A 21,097-nucleotide genomic window follows, 5' to 3' on the forward strand; every position below is an offset into this window, starting at 1 on the left:
AGTCCCAGCTACTTGGGAGGCAGAGGCAGGAGACTCGCTTGAACCCAGGGGGTGGAGGCTGCAGTGAGCCGATATCGCACCACTGCACTCCAGCCTGGTGACAGAGCGAGACCCTGTCTCAAAAACAAACACAATAAACATTCGCCCTGAGTTATGCACTGAGGAATTATTTCAGGAAAAGTGGTTTGGGAACCTTCCTGGACAATGAGCTGTCTCCAGGAGGATGTGGATACTTCTGGCTCCTACCTCTTTGAACTCCAAACAGACTCAACAGCCCCACCTCAAGATGGCCTCTCAAGCTGAGTGTGGCCAGAGGCATCTTCTACTTCCCACCTCCTCCCACTCCAATACACCACACCCAGCCTTCCAACCTCACCAAGCAGCAACTCCGGGCCAGAAACCAGGAGACCAGCTTCATTTCCTCCTCTGCACGCTTCACACACTACCAGCAAATCCCATCAGTTCTATCCCAGAACTTTCCCCGACTCCTTGCACCCCTTACCTGGCTTAAACTGCCACCTCCTCCATCTGGATTTTCCCACCTAGCTCCCCAAGGTCCTGCTGCTTCTACTCCAGCCCAGCACGCTTGCCAAAGGGGAGCAGGCACCACCCCTCCTGCGTAAACAGGTGTCCAATGGCCCCATAGCACTCAGTAAGTAAACAGCAGTGCCCACACACAGCCTCCAACAGCTTGGATCCCTTACCTGACTGCCATGCACACACAGTCCTGCGCTGGGACGTGTTTTGTTTTGTTTTGTTGGACTGAATATGCTGTTTACTTTTTTTTTTTTTTTTTTTGGTTGAGATGGAGTCTCTGTTGCCCAGGCTAGAGTGCAGTGGCACGATCTCGGCTCACTGCAACCTCTGCCTCCCGGGCTCAAGTGATTCTCCCACCTCAGCCTCCGAGTAGCTAGGATTACAGGCTCATGCCAGCACGCCCAGCTAATTTCTGTATTTTTAGTAGAGACAAGGTTTCACCATGTTGGCCAGGCTGGTCTCGAACCCCTGACCTCAAGTGTTCTGCCCGCCTCAGCCTCCCAAACTGACAGGATTACAGGCGTGAGCCGCCAGGCCTGGCCTTACTATTTTCTTTTATAACGGCCTATTGGGCAGGCCCTGCCTATTCCAAGCAACAGTGGAATGGACCGAGCAGGGAATGCCCGAGGCCAATGCAGGCCATCCAGTGCCAGCCCTCAGGCTCACCTCCTGCTCAGACGCTCCTCCCGTTCCCTCTCCTCTCTCCTCCTCAAGCGATCCTGATTTCTCTTCTCCTGCTTTTCAGCGACAGTTTTCTAAATAAATGAAACAAAAAATGAGGAAGAGCAAGTTACACAAACCAGAGTGTGAATGCTACTTAACAAATCACCTTTATATGAGCTCAGTATTGGTAATTTAAAAATTGAAGGGACACTTTTAGGAAATGGGAATACTTTTTTTTTTCTCTTTGAAACGGTGTCTCACTGTCACCAGGCTGGAGTGCAGTGGCGTGATCTCGGCTCACTGCAACTTCCACCTCGAGTTCAACCTATTCTTCTGCCTCGGCCTCCCAAGTAGCTGGGATTACAGGCACATGCCACCACACCCAACTAATTTTTGTATTTTTAGTAGAGATGGGGTTTCACCATGTTGGCCAGGATGGTCTTGATCTCTTGACCTTGTGACCCGCCTGCCTCAGCCTCCCAAAGTGCTGGGATTACAGGCATGAGCCACCGCGCCCGGCCAACACATTCATTTTTAAAACTTCTTAATGAAGAAGATAACACATGAAAAAATGCTTTATCATTACATTTTTTTTTCCTGAGACAGAGTCCGCCCTGTTGCCCAGTGCAGTGGCGCGATCTTTGCTCACTGAAGCCTCTGCCTCCTGGGTTCAAGCGATTCTTCTGCCTCAGCCTCCTGAGTAGCTGGGATTACAAGCGTGCCAGCACGGCCGGCTAATTTTTGTATGTTTAGTAGAGACGGGGTTTCACCATGTTGGTCTGGCTTGTCGCAAACTCCTAACCTTGTGATATGCCTGCCTCGGCCTCCCAAAGTGCAGCAATTACAGGCGTGAGGCACTGCACCCGGCCTCGTTTACATTTACTTTTTTTTTTTTTTTGAGACGGAGTCTCGCTCTGTCACCCAGGCTGGAGTGCAGTGGCGCAATCTCGGCTCGCCGCAAGCTCCGCCTCCCGGGTTCACGCCATTCTCCTGTCCTGGCCTCCGGAGTAGCTGGGATTACAGGCGCCCGGCACTGCGCCCGGCTAATTTTTTGTATTTTTAGTAGAGACAGAGTTTCACCATGTTAGCCAGGATGGTCTCGATCTCCTGACCTCACGATCCGCCCGCCTCGGCCTCCCACAGTGCTGGGATTATAGGCATGAGCCACCGCGCTTGGCCACTTTTTTTTTTTTGAAACAGGGTCTTGCTCTGTCCACCCAGGCTGGATGGAGTGCAGTGGCGCAATCACAGCTCACCGGAGCCTTGACCTCCCAGGCTCAAGCAAGCCTCTTTAGCTCCGCCTCCTGAGTAGCTGGGACTATAGGCGTGTGCCACCATGGCAGACTAATCTTTAAACATTTTTTATGGAGATGGAATCTTGCTATGTTGCCCAGGCTGAGCTTGAACTCCTCAACTCAAGCAATCCTCCTGCCTTGGCCTCCCAAAGTGCTGGGGTTACAGGCCTGAACCACCCAGCCTATCATTAGATTTTAACAATGTGGTAACAAACTGTCTATTCTAAGTGGTGCTATACTTCTAACTCACAGGGAATTGATCACATTGTTTCAAACCAACCCAGATAGGTAGGAGACTGTACAAACTTTATGGTAAAAAAGGACGGATGTATCTCATCAAACACATCTTGCTACTGGGAGCAGAATCCCTACAGCCAAAAAGCAGCCCAACCTCAGGGTGCTGGGTGCTACGCTGGCTTTAGAACAAACTGAGTTGGAGGACAGCAGGCCAGGGGAGGTGGACCACAAATCCTCTGCAACTGGCTTTCAACACAGGATGATGTGAATCATCAGGCTTGATGAAGAAAGCAATATAAGGGGATGAGAAACCTCGCCAATGAAAATACCGTCAACACAAGCTGAGTGGAAAAGCACCGGGCACCGTTCTGTATACCCACTACTCCCAATATCAACTCTAAGACATTTAATGCCCCTCATCTGTGTCAAGTGAAGCCCTGAGTGGGAGCAAGTCAGAGCCAGTAAGACAAAGAATCACGAGTCTTCTCCATCCAGAGAGCCACGATGGCATAAGGATAATCTTCCATACCCAGTGTGGATGAGAGCACGCTCCCCACAAGGGCACGGAAAGTATGCAGAGCTGGGTGACTGGTATCTCCAGCTCTAAACTTTCACCCATGCTCATCCTGTGTCTGAAGCAGGGCACACATGGATGGACACCTTTAAGGTGATGTTTAAGGATGGCATTTAAGCCAGGTACGGTGGCTCATGCCATTTCAGCACTCTGGGAGGCTGAACTGGGAGGATCATGTGAGGACAGGAGTTTGAGACCAGCCTGGGAAACATAGTAAGACCTCCTACCTAAAAAAAAAAAATGAGCCAGATATGGTGGTGCATGCCTGTAGTCTCTGCTACTCAGGAGACTCAGGATGCAGGGCCACTTGAGTCCAGGAGTTCCAGGTTACAGTGACAATAAGCTATCAGCTACCATCACATCAGTACACTCCACCCTGGGTGCCAGAGGGAGACCCTGTCTCTGAAAAAAAAAACGAAAAAAATCCTCTGTTGTCTAGGTTGGAGTGTAGTGTCGTGATCACAGTTCACTGCAGCCTTGAGCTCCAAGGTCCAAACAATCCTCTTACCTCAGCCTCCTGAGTAGCTGGACCTACAGGCACACACCACCATGCTTGGCTAATTTTTAAATTTTTGGTAGAGACAGGGTCTCCTTATGTTGCCCACGCTGGTCTCAAACTCCTGGATTCAATCGATTCTCCTGCCTTGGCCTCCTAAAGACTGGAATTACAGGCGTGAGCCACCACACCCAGCCTCAAGGATGGCAGTTTTTAAAAAAATTAAGGATTAGCCAGGTGCAGTGGCTCATGTGTAATCCCAGCACTCTGGGAGGCCTAGGAAGGTGGATACCTCTGGGACTACTGTGAGTGAGGCCTCCTCTAACTAGGGCACAGAACTCCCACTCTCCCTATCATTAAGAGGTGCACTTCCAAATACATTGTGCACTGTTACTTTAATAATTATTTATCAAAGTCTGTAATACGAGTTGTGTTGTTTTGGTCAACTCTATGCTGCAATGATAAAACAAGCTTTCTAACCAAGTTAATGCTTCTTAAGGTAGAAGGGAAAAACATTTCACAATATTCACATTTCTAATGCAGAGATACACATTAAGGAAATAAAAGATTGCAGATATTAAAAAAAAAATACTACATTAGGGCCAAGCACTGTGGCCCACGCCTGTAATCCCAGCACTTTGGGAGGCCGAGACAGGTGGATCACCTGAGCTCAGGAGTTCGAGATCAGCCTGAGCAACACGGTGAAACCCCATCTCTACTAAAAACACAAAAATGAGCCAGGCATGGTGGTGCACGCCTATAGTACCAGCTACTTGGAGGGCTGAGGCAGGAGTATCTCTTGAAGCTGGGAGGTGGAGGTTACAGTGAGCTGAGTTCGTTACACTGCACTCCAGCCTGGGTGACAGAGCAAGACCCTGCCTCAAACAAACAAACAAACAAACAAAAAAAACCCAACAACTACAGTAGGACAAAATTCTGAGCTGTGAAATGAAAATGTAATTTAAAGGAGAAATGGGAAAGTAACATTTCCAGTGGCTAACAAACAATTTTTTTTTCTTTAAGACAAAGTCTCACTCTGTTGCCCAGGCTAGAGTGCAGTGGCTCGATTTCGGCTCACTGCAACCTCTGCCTCCCGGGTTCAAGCGATTCTCCTGCCTCAGCCTGCCAAGTAGCTGAGAATACAAATGTGTACCACCATGCCCAGCTAATTTTTGTGTTTTCAGTAGAGACAGGGTTTTGCTATGTTGGCCAGGCTGGTCTCGAACTCCTGACTTAAGTGATCCGCCCTCCTCAGCCTCCCAAAGTGCTGGGATTACAGGTGTGAGCCACCATGCCTGGCCAAAAGCAAATTTTTAATAGAGTGGTAAATGCATACTAAATTGTGATTTATAATTCTATTGGATACAGATACTTTTACATCTTTTTTTTTTTTTTTTTTTGAGACAGAGTCTCGCTCTGTCGCCCAGGCTGGAGTGCAGTGGTGCAATTTCGGCTCAGTGCAAGCTCCGCCTCCCGGGTTGACACCATTCTCCTGCCTCGGCCTCCCGAGTAGCTGGGACTACAGGTGCCCACCACCATGCTCGGCTAATTTTTGTATTTTTAGTAGAGACGGGGTTTCACCTTGTTAGCCAGGATGGTCTCAATCTCCTGACCCAGTGATCTGCCCGCCTCGGCCTCCCAAAATGCTGGGATTACAGGAGGCTGAGCCTCTGCACCCAGCCTTTTTTTTTTTTTTTTTTTTTTTTGAGACGGAGTCTTGCTCTGTCTCGTAGGCTGGAGTGCAGTGGCACAATTTCAGCTCACTGCTACCTCTGCCTCCCAGGTCAAGCAATTATCCTGCCTCAGCCTCCCGAGTAGCCAGGATTACAGGCGCCCGCTGCCATGCCTGGCTAATTTTTGTATTTTTAGTAAAGACGGGGTTTCACTATGTTGGCCAGGCTGGTCTTCAACTCCTGACCTCGTGATCCACCTGCCTCGGCCTCCCGAAGTTTGGGATTACAGGCGTGAGCCACCACACCCAGCCTCACTTTTACATCTTTCATACCTATAAACTTATAAAGAAAAATTCCAACTTTGACAGAGTACATTGCTTTTCAAAATTCTCTCGGGAACACGGAAGTAAAATGTTTCAAGACCAGTGGCCGAGAATAACCTCACTGCTGCACCAGCTCCCATCACAGTCCCAGGTTCACACCATCACCTATGGGACCCTCCTGAGGTGCACAGCCCTGCCATATGCGGCCTGAGTGAGCAGCTCTTTCCTGGGGCACAAAAGGCCCTCAGCCGTGGTCACTGCAGCATTCTGCAGTCAGCGACACGTCTGTCCCTCCACTACATTTCAGGTATACAGGGGGAGGCTGGCTAATTTCCCACCATCCTATCCTGAGGTCCTAGTATGCGGTAAGGGGGGCTCCATCAGTGTGAAGGGAGACAATTCAAAGTAGTGGAAATACGTCCAACCTTCCTTCTTAGCATTCCGTACTTAAAGTTTTTAAATGTCGGCCGGGTGCGGTGGCTCACGCCTGTGGTCCCAGCACTTTGGGAGGCTGAGGCGGGCGGATCGCGAGGTCAGGAGATCGAGACCATCCTGGCAAACACGATGAAGCCCCGTCTCTACTAAAAATACAACAACAACAACAAAAATTAGCCGGGCGTGGTGGCAGGCACCTGTAGTCCCAGCTACTGTGGAGGCTGAGGCAGGAAAATGGTGTGAACCTGGGAGGCGGAGCTTGCAGTAAGCCGAGATTGGGCCACTGCACTCCAGCCTGGGCGACAGAGCGAGACTCCATCTCAAAAAAAAAAAAAAAAAAAAAAAAAAAAGTTTTTAAATGTCTTAGAGTCTTGAAGAAGGAACAGAGGTTTTCTCTGGGCTGGGATGGTACAATGCTACCAGAAAAACCCCATCTTCACCCCGCCCTTCTGAGGTGGCTCATAGGCAAGGAGCCAGGATGTGTGACACTCTGTCTTGACCAACCAGAGATTCTTTCTCATCTCCTAACAGAAGTTATTTCAGAGATACACAACGAGCTGTATGTATTCTGGGAACAGGCTCTGCCATTTTCTTCCCTTAACGACAGGGTCCAAAATAAATCTCCAAGGCTCCTTTGGACTCTGAGCTATCATGTCTCTTGTGTGAATCCAAGTGATGAAATCTGCGTATTTCACTATAAAACTCAAGTTCTTAGAGATCAGAACATAATGTTTTTTGTTTTTTTTTTGAGATGGAGTCTTACTCTATAGCCCAGGCTGGAATGCAATGGCATGATCTCGGCTCACTGCAACCTCTGCCTCCTGGGTTTAAGCAATTCTTCTGCCCCAGCCTCCCGAGTACCTAAGATTACAGGCTCACACCAACACACCTGGCTAATTTTTCGGTAGAGACGGGGTTTCACCATGTTGGTCAGGCTGGTCTCGAACTCCTGACCTCAGGTGATTCGCCCACCTCGGCCTCCCAAAGTGCTGGGATTATAGGCATCAGCCACCACGCCCGGCCAAAACATAAGGTTTTTAAAAATTAAAGAAATGTGAAAACACCCCAAGACTCCTCAGCTTTCTCCAGAAACAGATGAACATACCCTCAACTGATCAAGCTTCTCTCGGATCTGAATGAACCCCAAGTGTAACTTGCCACCGAAGTGGTCTGCCAGGCGACGGTCATTGTCATGGAGACCAAGGTAGGCTGAACAGACCTCGCAGACACGCAGCTTTTGCTGCTGAAAACTGGATGCAGGCATGGAATTTCTGTATTCTTCCTGAAGAAGGAAAATGGAGAAATAAAAGTGAGGTATATAGAACTGCCACCACAAATTCAATCTCCAAAATGAAAATATTTGATAAGATGACAGAGGTGACTTTTAAACAAATATTAAAAAAACACAAACAAAACTTCAGATATTTATAACCAACTCAATTTTCACTGTTTATTTAAGAAACGCGGCCAGGCACGGTCCCAGCACTTTGTGAGGCCAGGTGGGCGGACCATGTGGTCAAGAGATCAAGACCAGGCCAGGCGCGGTGGCTCACGCCTGTAATCCCAGCACTTTGGGAGGCTGAGGCTGGCGGATCACCTGAGGTCCGGAGTTCAAGATCAGCCTGACCAACATGGAGAAACCCCATCTCTATTAAAAATACAAAAGTAGCCGGGTGTGGTGGCGCATGCCTGTAATCCCAGCTATTCTGGAGGCTGAGGCAGGAGAATGGCTTGAACTCGGGAGGCGGAGGTTGCTGTTGAGCTGAGATCGCACAGGCAACAAGAGCAAAACCCTGTCTCAAAAAAAAAAAAAAAAAAAAAAAGAGAGATCGAGACCATCCTGGCCAACTTTGTGAAACCCCGTCTCTACTAAAAATACAAAAATCAGCTGGGTGTGGTGGCACATGCCTGTAGTCCCAGCTACTCAGGAGGCTGAGGCAGGAGAATCACTTGAACCTGGGAAGCGGAGGTTGCAGTGAGCCAAAACCGTGCCACTGCATTCCAGCCTGGCAACAGAGCGAGACTCCATCTTAAAAAAAAAAGGTACTAACAGGCTGGGCTCAGTGGCTCACGCCTGTAATCCCAGCATTCCGAGGCCAAGGCAGACAGATCACTTGAGGCCAGGAGTTCAAGACGAGCCTGGCAACATAGCAAAACCCTGTCTCTACTAAAAATACAAAAATTGGCCGGGCGCGGTGGCTCACGCCTGTAATCCCAGCACTTTGGGAGGCTGAGGCAGGCGAATCATGGGGTCAGGAGATCACGACCATCCTGGCTAACACGGTGAAACCCCGTCTCTACTAAAAAAACAGAAAAAATTAGCTGGGCGTGGTGGCGGGCGCCTGTAGTCCCAGCTACTCAGGAGGCTGAGGCAGGAGAATGGCGTGAACCCGGCAGGCGGAGCTTGTAGTGAGCCAAGATCATGCCACTGGGCGAAAGAGCGAGACTCCGTCTCAAAAGAAAAAAAAAAAAAAAAAGCCAGATGGTGGCAGGCATCTGTAATTCCAGCTACTGGAGAGGCTGAGGCACAAATTGTTTAAGCCCAGGAGGTGGAGGTTGCAGTGAGCTGAGATCACACCACTGCATTCCAACCTGGAGGACAGAGGAAAACTCCAAAAAGGAAAAAAAAAAAATTGTATTCCAGGCCTGGTGTAGTGACTCACACCTATAATCTCAGCACTTTAGGAGAGTGAAGCAAGAAGATCACTTGGCCCCAGGAGATTGAGATCACCCTGAGCAACACAGCAAGACTCAGTCTCTAAAAATAAGAAAATAATTAGCCCGCTGTGGTGGCACGTGCCTATAGTCCCACCTACTCAAGAGACTGATTCGAGAGGACTGCTTGAGCCCAGGAGGTTGAAGGGGCAGTGACCTGTGACTGCGCCACTGTACTTCAGCCTGGGTGACCCTGGCTGACAGCAGGACCCTCTAATATTAAAAAAAATAGGCTGGGCACAGTGGCTAACACCTGCAATCCCAGCACTTTGGGAGGCCAAGGCAGGTGGATCACAAGGTCAGGAGTCCGAGAAGGTGAAACCCCGTCTCTATTAAAAATACAAAAAAATTAGCTGGGCACGGTGGCTGGCACCTGTAATCCCAGCTACTCGGGAGGCTGAGTCTGAGAATTACTTGAACCCGGGAGTCAGAGGATGCAGTGAGCCGAGATCGCACCACAGCAATCCAGCCTGGGCGACAGAGCGAGACTCTGTCTGAGAAAAAAAAAAAAAAAAAAGTAGACAAGGAACTAGCAAGAACTTGAATTTCCATTATAGTATGCTACATAACTAAAAAAAAAAAAAAAAAAAAAAAACTTAAGCAAAAACAATATTGTGGTACACAAATATTCATAACATTACTCTGTCCCCTTCTATAGTTTTGAAACCTTAAATGCCACCTTCTAACATCTTTCAAAATAAACTCTGATTATGTTGAGTAAAAAAAGTCAGTCCCAAAAGGTTACCTACTGTATGATTCCATTTACATAACTTTTTTTTTTTTTTTGAGACGGAGTCTCGCTCTGTCGCCCAGCCTGGAATGCAGTGGCACGATCTCAGCTCACTACAAGCTCTGCCTCCCGGGTCCACACCATTCACCTGCCTCAGCCTCCTGAGTAGCTGGGACTACAAGCGCACGCCGCCACGCCCGGCCAATTTTTTGTATTTTTAGTAGAGACGGAGTATCACCATGTTAGCCAGGATGGTCTCGATCTCCTGACCTCGTGATCCACCCGCCTCAGCCTCCCAAAGTGATGGGATTACAGGCGTGAGCCACCGCACCAGGCTTTTTTTTTTTTTTTTTTTTTTTTGAGAGAGAGTCTTGCTCTGTCACCCATATTGGAGTGCAATGGCACGATCTCTGTTCGCTGCAACCTCCGCCTTCTGGGTTCAAGCGATTCTCCTACTTCAGCCTCCCAAGTAGCTGGGATTACAGGTGCCCGCCACCACACCTGGCTAATTTTTATACTTTTAGTAGAAATGGGGTTTCACCAAGTTGGCCAGGCTGGTCTCGAACTCCTGACCTCAGGTGATGCACCTACCTTGGCCTCCCAAAGTGCTGGGATTACAGGCATGAGCAACCGTGCCCGGCCATATTTTTAATTTCTTTGTAAAGATGGGGTATCCCTATGTTGCCCAGGCTGGTCTCAAACTCCTGGACTCAAGCAATCCTCCTGCCTCGACCTTCCAAAGTGTTGAGATTACAGGCATGAGCCACCATACCCACCCTCCATAAGCTTTTACGCTGGGCAGAAGGCAGCAAAAGGGGAGTCAGCATATCACATGGCAAAAGAAGGAGTGAGACAGAGAGAAGGACCTAGGCTCCTTTAAACAATCAGCTCTGAGGTGAACTCACTATCCCAGGGAGGGCACCAAGCCATTGATGAGTGAACCACCCCCATGACCCAAACACCTCCCACTAGACCCCACCTCCAACATTGGAGGTCACATTTCAACATGAGATTTGGACGTGCCACACATCCAAACCGTATCAAGTGTTATTTTTTATCTTTTATACTGTATTTTTACTGTACCTTTTCTATGTTTACGTACACAAATATTTAGGGGCCCACTGTGTTGCAACTGCCTATAGTATTCAGCACAGTAACATGCTGTACAGGTGTGGAGCCTAGGAGCAATGGGCTCTACCATACAGCCCACATGGCTATACCACCCAGGTTTGTTAAGCACACTCTATAATGTTCTCACAATGATGAACCATGGAACGCACTTCTCAGAATATTTAATCCTTGTCATTAAGAAAGATATGACTGTACTAATATCAGAAATGAAAGACAGGACATCATTACGGATCCACCCACTTTAAAGGAATAATACAAACAACTCTTAAAAACAACAACTCCATGCCCACAAAAGCGATAAACTAGATGAAATGGACCGATCCCTTCAAAGACAGCCAGGAGCAGTGGCTCACGCCTGTAATCCCAGCACTGTGGGAGGCTGAGGCAGGTGGATCACTTGAGGTCAGGAGTTTGAGACCAGCCTGACCGACATGGTGAAACCCCGTCTTCTCTACTAAAAATACAAAAATTAGCTGGGCATGGTGGCAGGCACCTGTAATCTCAGCTGCTCAGGAGGCTGAGGCAGGATAATCAGTTGAACCCAGGAGTTGGAGGTTGCAGCGAGCCATCGCACCACCGCACTCCAGCCTGGGCAACAGAGAGAGACTCCGTGTAAAAAAAAAGTATAATAATGTTGAAAGACACAATCTGCCAAAACTCACACAAGAAGAAACAGATGATCTGAATGAATCTGTATATTAATAACCTTCCAAAACAGAAAGCATCAGGTCCAGATGGGTTTACTGGTGAATTCTACCAAAGCATTAGGGAGCAAATCATGCCAATTCTCTACAATCGCTTTCAGAAAATAGAAGCAGAGAGAGTATCTTCTAACTCCTTCTATGGGGACATTACCATAATACCAAAACCAGATAAAGGTATTACAAGAGGCCAGGCATCATGGTGACTCATGACTCTAATCCCAGCACTTTGGGAAGCAGAGCTAGGCAGATCGCTTGAGCCAAGGATTTCAAGACCAGCCTTGACAACATGGCGAAACCCAGTCTCTCCAAAAAATACAAAAAATTAGCTGGGCTTGGTGGCATGTGCCTTCAGTCCTAGCTATTTGAAAGGCTGAGGCGGGAGAATCAAATGAGCCCAGGAGATCAAGCCTTCAGTGAGCCAAGATCGCGCCACTGCACTCCAGCCTGGGTGAGAAAGTGAGACCGTCTCAGGGCGGGGGGCGGGGTGGAGGTGGGGAGGGCTGGGCGCGGTGGCTCACACCTGTAATCCCAGCACTTTGAGAGGCCAAGGCAGGCGGATCATGAGGTCAGGAGATAGAGGCCATCCTGGCTAACACGGTTAAATCATATCTCTACTAAAAACACAAAAAATTAGCCAGGTATGGTGGCACACGCCTATAGTCTCAGCTACTCGGGAGGCTGAGGCAGGAGAATCGCTTGAGCCCGGGAGGCGGAGGTTGCAGTGAGCCGAGATCACGCCACTGCACTCCAGCCTGGGCGAATGAATGAGACTCCATCTCAAAAAAACACAAAAACAAAAACCAAAAAACAAATGACCAATTACACCAGCACCCGCAAGCATGAAATATTTAGGTAGAAATCTAACAAAACATGCATGAGATCTTCACTATGAGAAAAATTACAAGACTCATAAAAGGTATCAAATGGCCTGGCGAAGTGGCTCACGCCTGTGATCCCAGCACTTTGGGAGGCCAAGGCAGACGGATCACCTGAGGTCAGAAGTTTGAGACCAGCTTGGCCAACACGGTGAAACCCCATCCCTACTAGAAATGAAAAAAAAAAAAAAAAATTAGCCATGGGCCGAGCATGGTGGCTCACTCCTGTAATCCCAGCAGTTTGGGAGACCGAGGCGGGTGGACCACGAGGTCAGATTGAGACCATCCTGGCTAACACAGTGAAACCCCATCTCTACTGAAAGTACAAAAAAATTAGCCGGGCGTGGTGGTGGGCGCCTGTAGTCTCAGCTACTCTGGAGGCTGAGGCAGGAGAATGGTGTGAACCGAGGAAGCGGAGCTTGCAGTGAACTGAGATCGCACCACTGCACTCCAGCCTGGGGGACAGAGCGAGACTCCATCTCAAAAAAAAAAAAAAGAGAGAAAATTATAAGGAAGAGAAAATAAAATACATTTATAGTACTGTGCTGTACTGATCACTTCTGTACGTTTACACTGCTCATTTACAAGATGAATTGTCCGTCTGAAATGGTAGCAACTGCAGCTGCAGACCTCAATCTAATGTATACATCAAGCAACTCAACTTTTTCTTGTAATATCATGGCTGTTCTTGCCTTCTTGGGAGCATTTTCAGCATCACTAGTGGCATATGGATCCTATGGCATTACTCAAAGTTTATGGTATTGCACTAAACACGATGAAAAACGCCTAGGAACCCTGTGAGTTCACTTTTTACTGCAGTAGGAATGTACTGGAGAGGTGAACTGCTCCTTCGGAGATGATGAGTGTCACGTGGTGTTTCAAGGGGATACTCACGACCCTTGAGCTCCACACAATGGCAACAGGAAGTGGCATGAATTATTACAGTAGTACAGTACCTATTACAGTTATTCTTAGGCAGCCCTGATTTAATACTGCACCTCTGCACTACGTTTGTTAACATCTCTCTACGGCGAATGCTGTCATGTATGGTCTGTAAGCGTTTGCATGTAGCCTCTTCTTTTTTAGAGACAGGGTCTTGCTATGTTATCCAGGCTGGACTCCAAAAGTCCTAGGATTAAGGGATCCTCTCATCTCAGCCTCCCGAACAGCTGAGACTAAAGCCAAGAGCCACCATAGCTGGCCATATGCTTAAGTTTTGACAAATGTTACCTTTTCATAATAGACTTGTGTATATTTTATGGCAGTAAATAAAAGACTAGTATCCTCATATATTTTATGTATTCATGACATACCTAACATTTTCTGCAGACTTTGGGTGATAATGACAAGTCAACGTAGACCCACTGACTGTGGGCAGATGCTAGGAATGGAGGAGGCTGTCTGAGGAGAGGGTACATGGAGAATCTCTGTACTTTCCTCTCAATTTAGCTATGAAGCTAAAACTGCTTGCAAAAACAGCGTTTATAAATTTTTTTGAGACAGAGTCTCGCTCTGTCGCCCAGGCTGGAGTGCAGTGGCGCAATCTCAGCTCACTGCAAGCTCCGCCTCCCGGGTTCACGCCATTCTCCTTCCTCAGCCTCCGGAGCAGCTGGGACTACAGGTGCCTGGCGCCATGCCCGGCTAATTTTTTTGTATTTTTAGTAGAGACGGGGATTCGCTGTGTTAGCCAGGATGGTCTTATCTCCTGACCTCGTGATCCGCCCGCCTCGGCCTTCCAAAGTGCTGGGATGACAGGCGTGAGCCACTGTGCTGGGCCCAAAATGTATAAATTTTTTAAAAAATGGGAGCAAGCATGGGCTCAATTAATTCCAACGGTCAACGCTGCCAAATTACTAAGATTTCTCTTGCCCTAAGGCACTTATCTCACCAACCTCAGCTTCTTTTTTCTTCGCACGAACTTTTTCCACTTCCATAAGAATCTTCTGGGATTCATCCACATTACCTTCAGCCCCTAGCTGTTCGGCTTTAGCAAGGAGTTTTCCTATTTCTTCATTTAACTCATGTACTTTTTCTGCCTGTGAGGAGAAAGAATGAGGTAAGCAGACATCTGAAAATGAAAGTGAATGCAAAGGCAACAAGGGTTTCTCCTGCTCCATTTCCAGTCTGAAAATAAGTGGAAGAGCTAAAGATCCACACTTAACAATGAAGGCATCCTTACTGCCAGCATTGAGACTGTAACCATAAACGAGTCCTATGTTCCAATGAAACCAGTGGCACCTTTGTCACTTCCGACATGCTTCCAAGGATCATCACAGATTGGTCATTGTCTAGGCTGTCTCTCTTTATGACTTTTTCTTCTGGGTATGGTAATAAAATGCCTAGGTTTAAATGTACAGATTTAAGCTGTAACCAAAATACCTAATTACTAGGATTTACCTTCTGAAACAAAATAGCACCGTTGGTCAAATTAGCAATTGCATAAATCCTAAGAAATGCTTTTACAACACTGAAAAGAAAAAACAAGGAGAGGCTTAGTTCCACTGAAGAGAAAAACAGAAGAGTGATGTAAATGGCACTCAGTCTAATTACATATAAATCTACCTCCTTTTCATTCTATGATATGGATGTACCACAGTTTGACCATTTCCTTACCAATTCTTTCCAGTTTTATGTGGAGATATTAAAGTTTAAAACAACATGCAGAGGCTGGGCATGCTGGCTCACACCTGTAATCCCAGCACTTCGGGAGGACAAGGCGGGAGGATTGCTTAAGCCCAAGAGTTCCAGACCAGCTTGGGCAACAGACTCCATCTTTATTAAAAAAAAAAAAAAAAAAAAAAAAGATGGCTGGGTGCAGTGGCTCATGCCTGTAATCCCAGTACTTTGGGAAAACGAGGCGGGCAGATCACGAGGTCAAGAGATCGAGACCATCCTGGCTAACACAGTGAAACCCCGTCTCTACTAAAAATACAAAAAATTAGCTGGGCGTGGTGGTGGGCACCTGTAGTCCCAGCTACTCAGGAGGCTGAGGCAGGAGAATGGCGTAAACCCAGGAGGCGGAGCTTGCAGTGAGTCGAGATCACGCCACTGCCCTCCAGCCTGGGCGACAGAACAAGACTCTGTCTCTTAAAAAAAAAAAAAAACCGACAATAATTTTTTTTTCTTTTGAGGCAGGGTCTCACTCTGTTATCCAGGCTGAAGCAAAGTAGCATGATCACAGCTCATTGAAGCCTCAATCTCCCCAAGCTCAAGTGATCCTCCCACCTCAGCCTCCTGAGTAACTGGGATACACATGTGCACCACCAAGCCTGGCTAATATATGTATTTTTTGTAGAGATGGGGTTTCTTCATGTTGCTCAGGTCTAAAACTCCTGGGCTCAAGCAGTCTGCCCCCACCTTGGTGTCCCAAAGTGCTGGGACTACAAGCATAAGCCACCAAACTCAGCGAAGAATATATTAAAATTAAAAAATAATGATAAACCATGTACAGAGGACGAAAATGGAGAGAATAAAAAGACAGAGGTAGCAGCTCCTGAGGGATGAGAATTCCATGACACATGAATGCTTGATCACAGCCCTCTATCCTTAACTGGAGTAAGGCAGAGAGTACTGTCCACACAATCAGTGCTGAGGGTCAGTTAATAGCTATTGACAACGCCGGGCGCGGTGGCTCACGCCTGTAATCCCAGCACTTTGGGAGGCTGAGGCAGGCAGATCACGAGGTCAGGAGATCAAGACCATACCGGCTAACACGGTGAAACCCCGTCTCTACTAAAAATACAAAAAATTAGCCGGGCATGGTGGCGGGCGTCTGCAGTCCCAGCTACTCGGGAGGCTGAGGCAGGAGAATGGCATGAACCCGGGAGGCGGAGCTTGCACTGAGCTGAGATCATGCCACTGCACTCCAGCCTGGGTGACAGAGGGAGACTCCATCTCAAAAAAAAAAGCTATTGACAAGCCAGTATTTTTAAGAACACACCAGACACCGAAGCCACCCAAGCATACCTTTGCAGAAACTTCCGCACTGATTTCCTCCTGTGTTTCTGCCAGCCGCTTCTTGGCGAGCTCAGTTCTCCGATCACATTCAGCAATAAAGGACTCCAAGTGATCCATTGCCTAGCACGGGAAAAGCACAGCGCTATAATCAATGATGTGTAAAGCGTAAAGTCTTAGAACCCATTTGCTTGATAGGAAATACACTCCTAGGTTCGTTTCTTTAAAGCCTGTACATTCAAGGGAAAGATCTTAAACTACACTACCACTAACGCATTCATAATTGCATTAAATCAAGGGGATCTGTTAAACAGAATGATTGTTTGGAAGCATGGTCTTCTCATTTGATTTACTTATTTCCAAAATTTGTAAAAGGACCTCCAACCCTCAATAACATTACAAAGAAATTCTGAGGAAAATTAAAACACTTGGCAGCAATTCATAGAGTTCTCGGAGGGACAGAAAAGGCTGAGCCTAGACTCGTGCTGGAGGCCCTCTTCTGGGGAGTTGTGAGAGATGCATATGATGTACTCACTGGTCTTTGTGAGCCACGTAAATATTATTCCCTCATGTTCTGAGGGTAGGGTCCCCCCTTTCACCTCAAAAACAAAACAATAGAACAAATATTACTGAGAGCTATGAATACATTTTGTTATTGCCTACTATCTAAAGTAGCAGGAAAAATTGGTTGCTATTTACCCAAAGAGATAAAGGAAAAGAAGCTGTAGACGTCAAATTGCTTACTCTGAAAAGGGTGGTGGGAAACATTAAGAGAACTATCATATGCTAAGGTTAATTCACCATAACTAGGCAAAGGCTAACATAATTTCAGATAAAAACAGAGACAGGACCGGACGCAGTGGCTCACACCTGTAATCCCAGCACTTTGTGAGGCCAAGGTGGGCGGATCATGAGGTCAGGAGTTCAAGACCAGTCTAGCCAACATGGTCTCTAATAAAAATACAAAAATTAGCTGGGCATGATAGCGGGTGCCTGTAATCCCAGCTACTCAGGTGGCTGAGGCAGGAGAATCGCTTGAGCCTCGGAGGCAGAAGTTGTAGTGAACTGAGACCAGACCACCACACTCCAGCCTAGGCAACAGAGCAAGACTCCGTATCAAAAACAAAAACAAAAACAAAAAAAGGCAGGGCCCAGTGGCTCACACCTGTAATCCCTGCACTTTGGGAGGCCGAGGCGGGAGGATCCATGAGGTCAGAGGTTCAAGACCAGCCTTCCCAATACAGTGAAGCCCCATCTCTACTAAAAACATAAAAATTAGCTGGGCGTGGTAGCATGCACCTGTAGTTCCAGCTACTCAGGAGACTGAGGCAGAAGAATCGCTTGAACCTGGGAGGAAGAGGTTGCAGTGAGCCGAGATGGCACCACTGCACTCCAGCCTGGGCAACAGAGCAAGATTCCATCTCAAAAAAAAAAAAAAAAAATAGGGCATCACTTTTCCGACTGTCAGCCAGTGACCAGTAGTAAGAAACACTAACATTAAACCATGAGTCAGCTTGCTAATGTCAGCATCATGATAAACATAAATAAGTTTGTTTTGCAATGATGACAAGGTTAGATAGCATGATCTTTTACCAAAAACTAAATTTTAGGTGGAGATGAGAAGGCAGATGACAGGAAAACACTAAGGGGTGATAACCTAAGTCACCGCTCCTAAAACAGACAGGAGACAGTAGGTCAGCTGTAATAAACTGCTCCACAATGGATTACACAGACACTGGAGAAGATTGTGATCTTCTCTAGAAATCTTAAATATTTTTTTCAAAAACATGCATACTTGGGAGTAGGTAAGATAGGGAAGAACCTCCAAGTCTCCTGGTGCCCAGTCTCCCAAGAAGCTGGAGAAAGCACAAGCAGCATCACTGATGAAGGCTGACTCCCAGATATCACTCCATAATTTTGGAATTCAAAAACTGCCTCTTGGCCAGGCGTGGTAGCTCACGCCTGTAATCCCAGCACTTTGGGAGGCCAAGGCGGGTGGATCACTTGAGGTCAGGAGTTCGAGACCAGCTTGACCAACATGGAGAAACCCCATCTCTACTAAAAATACAAAATTAGCCACGAGTGGTGGTGCATGCCTGTAATCCCAGCTACTTCGGAGGCTGAGGCAGGAGAACTGCTTGAACCTGGGAAGCAGAGGTTGCAGTGAACTGAGATCGCGCCATTGCACTCCAGCCTGGGCAACAAGAGCGAGACTCCCTCTCAAAAAAATACATAAACTGCTTCTTGTTGGTCACCCAGATATTCTCTAGTCAACATTTCAGTATGTTCAAATCAAAGAATCAGGAAAACAAATGATCCGGCATTTGACTGCTTCTATGCACCTGTACACTGGACTTTCTGGAAAGGTGAAGAGCTGGCTGGAGCTCATCAGGATCCAAGTATTAAGGAGCTGACAAGGGTCACTGTGCCTTCTCTTCTGTGCTTACCTCAGACAACAGCCCCTAACAGACCAGTCTGAGATGCTCCAGGTTCACCCACACAGTGGCCCTGTACTGTCTGCTCAAGCTGAGCAATCAATCACCAACCTGAGACAGATTCAGGGATTCACTCGAGGGGTCAAATGGGAAATAGGCAGCTGACAACTCTCCCAATACCTAAACCCATCAAAGCAATTACCTGCACCTTAAGCAGAATCCAAATTGGCTATGGACTCAGATGTCTGATAACCTAAAAACTAAATGGTGGCCGGGCGTGGTGGCTCACGCCTGTAATCCCAGCACTTTGGGAGGCTGAGGTGGGCGGATCACGGGGTCAGGAGATCGAGACCACCCTGGCTAACACAGTGAAACCCCGTCTCTACTAAAAATACAAAAAATTAGCCGGGCGTGGTGGCGGGCGCCTATAGTCCCAGGTACCCGGGAGGCTGAGGCAGGACAATGGCATGAACCCGGGAGGTAGAGCTTGCAGTGAGCAGAGACTGTGTGCCACTGCACTCCAGCCTGGGTGACAGGGCAACACTCCGTCTCAAAAAAAAAAAAAGAACACTAAATGGTAGGCCCAGCACGGTGGCTCACGCCTGTAATCCCAACACTTTGGGAGTCTGAGACCAGCCTGGCCAGTATGGTGAAACCCCATCTCTACTAAAAATACAAAAAATTAGCCAGGCGTGGTGGCGGGCACCACTGGTTGCTATTTACCCAAAGAGATAGAGGAAAAGAAACTCTAGACGTCTAATTGCTTACTCTGAAAAGGGTGGTGGGAAACACTAAAAGAACTATCATATGCTAAGGTTAATTCGCCTTACGAGGTGAATCCCAGCTACAAGGGAGGCTGAGGCAGGAGAATCGCTTGAACCTGGGAGGCGGAGGTTGCAGTGAGCCAAGATCACGCCACTGCACTCCAGCCTGGGCGACAGAGCAAGACTGGCTCAAACAGAAAACAACAACTATAAATGGTAAACTTCACAACAGAGAACAAGCCAACCAAGAGCTGCCAAGTTCTTTAAAAGGTGGCTTTCTGTTCTACTGCCCTCTCCCTTCAAAGTGTTTCTCAACTTTAGCCTGTTTCTTAAAAGAGCAGATCTAAATGATAAAAAAAAGACATTCGATTCCAAAAATTAAGTCCTAATCACAACCTACCACTTACTAGAAAGTCACCCAATCTCTCTCTATCTCTGAGTAGCGTTATGAAACATAAACCCTAAAAGCCCCTGAGCACAGACAGCACCAGCACAAAGACTTGTGTCCTAACAGTATGGCAAAACTGGACAATATCAGCACACGTCATCTCCACTGAGGAGGCTGTCCCTCCACACACGGACTGCCTGGTGCTGTTACCAGCTCTCCCGGCCCAGCAGCACTGACACAGGCCGGTGGTCACTGAGCCTGAGAAAAGCCCATGATGTCAGTCAGAACTGTCACAGCAGACAGGTGCCCTTGTGCTGCACTAGGCACGTGCGCTAAACACCTCCAAAGAGCCGCAGAGGGGCCGGGCGCGGTGGCTCACGCCTGTAATCCTAGCACTTTGGGAGGCTGAGGTGGGTGGATCACCTGAGGTCAGGAGTTTGAGATCAGCCTGACCAACAAGGAGAAACCCCATCTCTACTAAAAATACAAAATTACCCAGGCGTGGTGGTGCATGCCTGTAATCCCAACTACTCAGGAGGCTGAGGCAGGAGAATCACTTGAACTCGGGAGGCGGAGGTTGCAGTGAGCTGAGATCGTGCCATTGCACTCCAACCTGGGCAACAAGAGCGAAACTCCATCTCAAAAAACACAGCCGCAGAGGAGCTCGTCGGGTCTCCATTGCATGGATGATGAAAGTGAAGCACAGCTACCAAACCACTAAGTAAGCAATGGAGTCAGGATCCAAGGACCCTTGTGGTCTGGCTCCAAAGACCTGCACTTCATCCTCACAAATCTGAGGCAGCCATCGTCAGCCCAGTTTATAGATGAAAAAAAGAAGGTGAAATAACTTGCCCAGGGTCACACAGGGACTCTAACTCAAGACATTTGACCTAGAAAAATGTCACTCTTATACTGGACAACTGTAAGACAGGAAAACTACATACAATCAGAACTGGTCTCATGTGGTATATTAAAAACAGCTTTGAAATGAGCCCATATATGTTGTTTTGAAAACTTTTCAAAACATCACATGGCCAGACAACATGGGAGTAAAGGTTAATTACACTTTTGGTGAATTACAAAGACACATTCATTACATTTTCAACATGTGAACACTAAAGAAATATACCTTTTTTTTTTTTCCCGAGAGGATCTTGCTCTGTCACCC

At 47.5% G+C, this 21,097-nt stretch overlaps 1 protein-coding gene across 8 annotated transcripts in view; it reads right to left on the minus strand.

The window, feature by feature from the left end:
• Nucleotides 1-21,097, minus strand: part of LUC7L (LUC7 like) — a 40,460-nt gene that overhangs the window by 2,734 nt on the left and 16,629 nt on the right. For 7 of the 8 annotated variants that reach the window (XM_011522561.3, NM_201412.3, NM_001320226.2 and 4 more), the window contains 4 exons: nt 16,355-16,465; nt 14,281-14,424; nt 7,339-7,515; nt 1,204-1,292 (listed from right to left, as the gene is read on the minus strand). In XM_011522561.3, coding sequence (XP_011520863.1) covers nt 1,204-1,292; nt 7,339-7,515; nt 14,281-14,424; nt 16,355-16,465 — 521 coding nt within the window. Of the gene's footprint in view, nt 1-1,203; nt 1,293-7,338; nt 7,516-14,280; nt 14,425-16,354; nt 16,466-16,877; nt 16,942-21,097 lie in introns of all 8 variants that reach the window. The other variant, XM_017023438.3, reaches the window with a different exon arrangement.

The sequence above is a fragment of the Homo sapiens genome, chromosome 16 (genome assembly GCF_000001405.40).
Source record: "Homo sapiens chromosome 16, GRCh38.p14 Primary Assembly".
Taxonomy (NCBI): Eukaryota; Metazoa; Chordata; class Mammalia; order Primates; family Hominidae; genus Homo; species Homo sapiens.